This window comes from Homo sapiens, chromosome 9 (assembly GCF_000001405.40).
Source record: "Homo sapiens chromosome 9, GRCh38.p14 Primary Assembly".
Taxonomy (NCBI): Eukaryota; Metazoa; Chordata; class Mammalia; order Primates; family Hominidae; genus Homo; species Homo sapiens.
The window spans coordinates 125,137,647-125,143,646 of NC_000009.12; the positions used below are offsets into that span (position 1 = coordinate 125,137,647).

Consider the following 6,000-nt stretch of genomic DNA (forward strand, 5'->3'; position numbering starts at 1 on the left):
CTGGAGTGCAGTGGTGCAATCTCAGCTCACCGCAACCTCCACCTCCCAGGTTCAAGAGATTCTCTGGCCTCAGCCTCCTGAGTACCTGTGATTACAGGCACGCGCCACCATGCCCGGCTAATTTTTTGTATTTTTAGTAGAGATGGGGTTTCGTCATGTTGGCCAGGCTGGTCTCAAACTCCTGACCTCAGGTGATCCACCCGCCTCAGCCTCCCAAAGTGCTGGGATTACAGATGTGAGCCACCACGCTTGGCCAAGAAGCAATCTTTAAAAACTCACGTTTGATTTTAGAGATACCATGAATCTGAAAACTGAACTTTATTTTCTTCTTCATTTTACTCCAGAAAACTCAGAGCCAAACACCAAAGCAACCATTAGCAATGATGCAGGACTTTCCGGTCCATGCACTAATTCTGCCACTGGCTTTATCTGCTTCTTTCATTTCTTCTTGGCCTTTATTTTTAATCTTCTCATTTTGAAAAGAAGTGGGAAATAAAAGATATTTGATGGGTGTTTTTTAACCTAAAATTTATTGTGTACCTTCTATGTGCCAGGCACTATCCTAGGCACCTTACAACCTTGGGGAAGTCGAACTATTATTTCTTTTTTTTTTTTTTTTTTTTTTGGAGACAGAGTTTCGCTCTTGTTGCCCAGGATGGAGTGCAATGGTGCAATCTCGGCTCACTGCAACCTCCACTTCCTGGGTCCAAGCGATTCTCCTGCCTCAGCCTCCCGAGTAGCTGGGATTACAGACATGCGCTACCACGCCCAGCCAATTTTTTTTTTTTGAGGCGGAGTCTCGCTGTCGCCCAGGCTGGAGTGCAGTGGTATGAGCTCAGCTCACTGCAAGCTTTGCCTCCCGGGTTCACGTCATTCTCCTGCCTCAGCCTCCTGAGTAGCTGGGACTACAGGCACCTGCCACCACGTCCAGCTGATTTTTTTTGTTTTTAGTAGAGACGTGGTTTCACTGTGTTAGCCAGGATGGTCTCGATCTCCTGACCTTGTGATCCGCCCGCCTTGGCCTCCCAAAGTGCTGGGATTACAGGATTGAGCCATCGTGCCCGGCCCAATTTTGTATTTTTAATAGAAATGGGGTTTCTCCATGTTGGTCAGGCTGGTCTCAAACTCCCGACCTCAGGTGATCTGCCCACCTTGACCTCCCAAAGTGCTGGGATTACGGGCGTGAGCCACCACGCCAGCAGAACTATTATTTCTACTATATAGATGAGGAAACTGAGGCAGAGACAGGCTTATTAACTTGCACATGATCTCGCAAACTACATTTGACAGAGCTGAATTCAAATTCAGCCCAGACCATTTCATGTAAGTGTATGTACAGGCCATGATGGGACCCAATAAGGTGGAGCAGAGGGAGGGTGGGGGGAAGCCCTCACTGAGCAAAGTCTTAAAGGAGGGGGCTTGTCAAGGAGCAAGGAGAAAGTACTCCAGAAAGAAAAAGAAATCACATACAAAAACCCAAAGCAGACCAGGTACTGTGGCTGACGCCTATAATTCAAACACTTTGAGAGTCTGAGGAAGGCAGATAGCTTAAGCCCAGGAGTTCACGACCAGCCTGAGCAACATGGTAAAACCCCACCTCTACAAAAAATGCAAAAATTAGCTGGGCATAGTGATGCACATCTGTAGTCCCAGCTACTTGGGAGGCTGAGGTGGGAAAATCACCTGGGCCCGAGAAGTCAAGGCTCCAGTGAGCCATTGTCACACCATTGCACTCCACCCTGAAGTGAGACCGTCTTTAAAAAACAACAACAACAACAACAAAAACAACAAAAACCCTAAAAACAAAAAACCAAAGCAAAGAGGGAACATAAGTTCTGGGAATGGCAAATGGAGCACGGAGTTACATTCAGCAATTAATTCATCTTGAAGGTTCACCAGAAAGTTAAATCATTTAAAAGTAGACATTTAATAGTTCCATCATTGAAAATCGATATGGCCAAAGTATTAACCGTGGCTGGGAAAGTATGAAGAAGTAAAATAAAGGCAATTTTTTTATATGATTAGGCTAAAAGTCTGAATGATGTTCAATAAGCAATGAGGAAGCACAGAGGGATCCTAAGCATGAGAATTACAAGATCGATTTGCACAGTACAGGGAGGGAATTACAGATTCAAGGTAGGGAAACCAGTCAGAAGGCTACTGAAGAGTCTGGCAGTGGGGTAATGAGAGTTAAATGAGAGCTATCCAAAAGAAATACAATGCAAAGAAATACAATGCAAGTTAAATGTATGCAGCTTTTAATTTTCTAGTAGCCATATTAGAAAAAATAAAAAGAAAGGCTGGGTATGGTGGCTCACGCCTGTAATCCTAGCACTTTGGGAGGCCAAGGCTGGCGCATCACTTGAGCACAGGAGACCAGCCTGAGCAACACAGTGAGACCCTGTCTCTTACAAAAAATAAAAAGTTAGCCTGGCATGGTGGTGCACATCTGTAGTCCCAGGTACTTGGGAGGCTGAGGTGGAAGGATTACCAGGTCGAGGCTGCAGTGAGCTGTGATTGCACCACTTCACTTCAGCCTTGACAACAGAGCCAAGCCCTGTCTCAGAAGAAAAATAAAAAGGAAAAAGAAGTAAGTGAAGGCCAGGCCCGGTGGCTCACACCTGTAATCCCAGCACTTTGGGAGGCCTAGTCAGACAGAGCACTTGAGGCCAGGAGTTCAAGACCAGCCTGGCCAACATGTTGAAACCCCGTCTCTACTAAAAATACAAAAATTAGCCGGGCATGGTGGCAGGCGCCTGTAATCCCAGCTAATCGGGAGGCTGAGGAAAGAGAATTGCTTGAACCCAGGAGGCGGAGATTGCAGTGAGTCAAGATCACATCACTGCACTCCAGTACGGGCAACAAAGTAAGACTTTGTCTCAGGAAAAAGTAAGTGAAAATAATTTTAGTAACAATTTTATTTACAGCCAGGCATGGCAGCTCACACTTGTAATCACAGCACTTTAGTAGGCCAAGGTGGTTGGATCATTTGAGCCCAGGAGTTTGAGACCAGCCTGGGCAACATGGCCAAACCTTGTCTCTACAAAAAAAAAAAAAAAAAAAAGAGCTGGGTGAGGTGTCAGGCGCTTGTAGTCCCAGCTACTCCAGAGGCTGAATTGGCTGGGTGGCTTGAGCCCAGGAGGTGGAGGTTGCAGTATGCTGAGATTGCACCACTGCACTACAGCCTGGATGACAGAGCCAGACCCTGTCTCAAAAAAAAAAAAAAGTATTTACTCCAATATACCTAAAATATTGTCTCACTATGTCATCAATATAAAAAGTTACTGAGAAATTTTATTTATTCAATTTTTGTACTAACTTGAAATCTAGCATGTATTTTATACTTATCTCATTTCAGACCCTAAATTCTCATTGGAAATATTTGATATATACTTAGATTTCATAAAATGACGGATGAAAAATACAGACTCACATACCCAAGTTGTTCAAAACATACTTGAACGTTTTCCAATAGCTGATCAAGTAGCAGTTTCTCAAGTTAATTTAATTACAATTAAATAAAATTAAAAATTTAGTTCCTCAGTCATGCTAGATGCATTTTGAGTGCTCACCCTGCATATGGTTACTGGATTGGACAGTACAGGCCTAAAGTGTGACAAGGAAACTCTGTTGGCACTTCCACCATCAGCATTTCGTGTCTATTTACTATTGAGGTTTTCTGTGTATTAACATCATTAACTTGCCAGATATTAACTATGAAAGTAGTCCTACTGGTCACATAACTACAGTAGCTTACTTTCTCTAGGTCAATGCCAACATCTGTGAAAAAGGAATCATCTAATGACTACACAGAATTGCTATGTAGTACCTCTCACATGGAATGCAGTCAAAAATGTTTATGTGATAAATATATCTTCATCTCCATTACTCAAGGACTAATTCACTTTGTTTGTGGACTACTTAAACTCTTTGCTTCTATTTTCCTAAGGTTCAACCATTCGAGTTAACTACACAGTGTCCAACGACAAAAGATAAAGCAATAAGAAAACCTACTTTCAATTGCATATTTATTAGCAGCATTATGGTATAACAGTTAAGAGCTTAAGCTCTGGAGTCAGACTGTCTGGATTCAAATCCTGGTTTTATCTTTTACTAGATGCATGATTTTGGGTAAATATTTGGCCTCTCTGTGTCGCAGTTCCCTCTTCTGTAAAATAGTGACACTACATATTCTCTTAGGGTTCTTTGAGGATTACAGGAGAAGATACACATAGAGCATTCGTACACAGTACTTGGCACATAGTAGATGCTCAATAAAATTAGTTTATTTTTTGAGGCAGGGTCTTGCTGTGTTCCCCACACTGGAGTGCAGTGGCATGATCACGGCTCACTGCATCACTGCAGCCTTGACTTCCTGGGCTCAAGCAATCCTCCCACCTCAGCCTCTTGAGAAGCTGGGACTACAGGTCCACAACACCCGCTCAGCTAGTTGGTTTTTGTTTTTTTAATTTTTTGTTTTTGTGGGTACATAGTAGGTGTATATATTTATGGGACCGGCTAGTTTTTCAATTTTTTGTAGAGACGGAGTCTTGCTCTGTTGCCCAGACTGGTCTTGAACTCCCAGGCTCAAATGATCCTCCTGCCTCAGCCTCCCAAAGAGCTGGGATTGAAGGCATGAGCCACCCCAGCCAAGATGAGCTTTTTAAACAGAGATGCTGGAGAAAATGAAATTATGGCTAAGGTTAAAAAAAAAAATAGCTGAGATCCTTACACAACATCAAAAAGTAAAAAAGTAGGATTTCTCAAGATTTCCCACATTATCTTAGATACCAAGAAAAAAAAAATCGACTGTAGAGGTAGTAATTTGAAGTCCTCAAAAGAAAAATCATGCATGTGGTTATATTCTTTTAAAAGGGGGATAAATAAGAAACTTCATCTACTGACAGTATACAATTATGCAGTACGGCACAGGTGCAGCCAAGCAAAAAGAAAAACATGAAGCAAAATAGGAAGGCACTGCCTTACCTGCTTCTCCGTTTTCGAGGCGGTTTCTCCACTGTGCCAGTCAGTCTGCAGACCAAACAAATAAGACGGTAACTAAAAGTAACATACAAGAAAACATCTCCCGGCGCTACCGTGCCAGTCAAGAACTAAATAGACCACCCTCTGGGACCACAGGCTCGCCAAGCCCAGATCTGACCTTACAAACGCCTCATGCCCTGTTTCCCCTATTTACCAAGACCTAGCATTCCTGGGACTCACCGTTCCCCCAATTCCCCCTGAGCTCAAACCTTCCTGGTCCCTCACCCCATCCTCGACCCCTGCTCGTCACAGCCCAGCTCCCCAAAATCACCCACCTCCACCTACTCATTGTCTGCCTCGTCACCCCCGCAAGCCCCCCTAGCCTCCCCTTTCCTGTGCCCACCCGTTCCCGACCGTGCACTGCCCCCTCCACGCCCCGCCTCTCCGGGCCCGGCGACCCCCGCATTCCACGGCCCCTCCGGGGGCGCGCCCGCCTTGCCCCTCCCGGCCCCGCGCCGCCAGCCTCACCCCTCGGCGCCCCTTCCCTCACACGCCCCTCTCACCTGGCCTCGAGGAGGCGATCGCGCCCAGCCCGCGCCGCCGCCTGCAGGCGCCCCCAAGGTCCCCCCAGCCTGCACCCCCCGCCCCTCCGGTCTCTGCGCCCCGAATGCTCCACCGCCCCGAGCCGCTGCCCCTGGGCCCGCTCCCTGGCCCCCACCCCATCCCCAACCCCGGCCTCCACCCAGCCCCCGCACCTGGGGGCCAGGCGACTCCGCGGCTGCTGGGGCTGCCGGGCTCCTCTGACCATCCGGCTCCTGCTCCGCCGCGGGAGCTGCTCCGGCGGCCGCAGGGCTCGCTCGGGAAGCTGAGGCGGCGGAGGCTGGAGTAGGCGGAGAGGCGGGAGGAGGGCCTCGCGCCTCTGCCAGGCTTGCCGCGGGGCCCGCCTCCTCCGCGCCTCTCCTCGGCTCCCATTGGCTAGAGCAGTAGTGTGGACGGAAATCTGTCAGTCGATTGGAC

At 47.2% G+C, this 6,000-nt stretch overlaps 1 protein-coding gene across 6 annotated transcripts in view, besides 1 other annotated feature; it reads right to left on the minus strand.

Moving 5' to 3' along the window:
- Positions 1 to 5,882, minus strand: part of SCAI (suppressor of cancer cell invasion) — a 200,921-nt gene extending 195,039 nt beyond the window's left edge. For all 6 annotated transcript variants that reach the window (XR_007061282.1, XR_007061281.1, XR_007061283.1 and 3 more), the window contains exons 1-2: positions 5,739 to 5,882; positions 4,987 to 5,031 (exon numbers count right to left, since the gene is read on the minus strand). Coding sequence is in view for 2 of the 6 variants with exons in the window: in NM_001144877.3 (NP_001138349.1) it covers positions 4,987 to 5,031; positions 5,739 to 5,791 (98 nt within the window). In the remaining 4 variants the exon portion in view is untranslated. The remainder of the gene's footprint in view (positions 1 to 4,986; positions 5,032 to 5,738) is intronic.
- Positions 5,501 to 6,000: a silencer, noted in NCBI's record as "silent region_20274". NCBI's record gives its function as "represses an Ori minimal core promoter by ATAC-STARR-seq in GM12878 lymphoblastoid cells {active_cell/tissue: GM12878}" and the evidence as "EXISTENCE:reporter gene assay evidence [ECO:0000049][PMID:35858748]".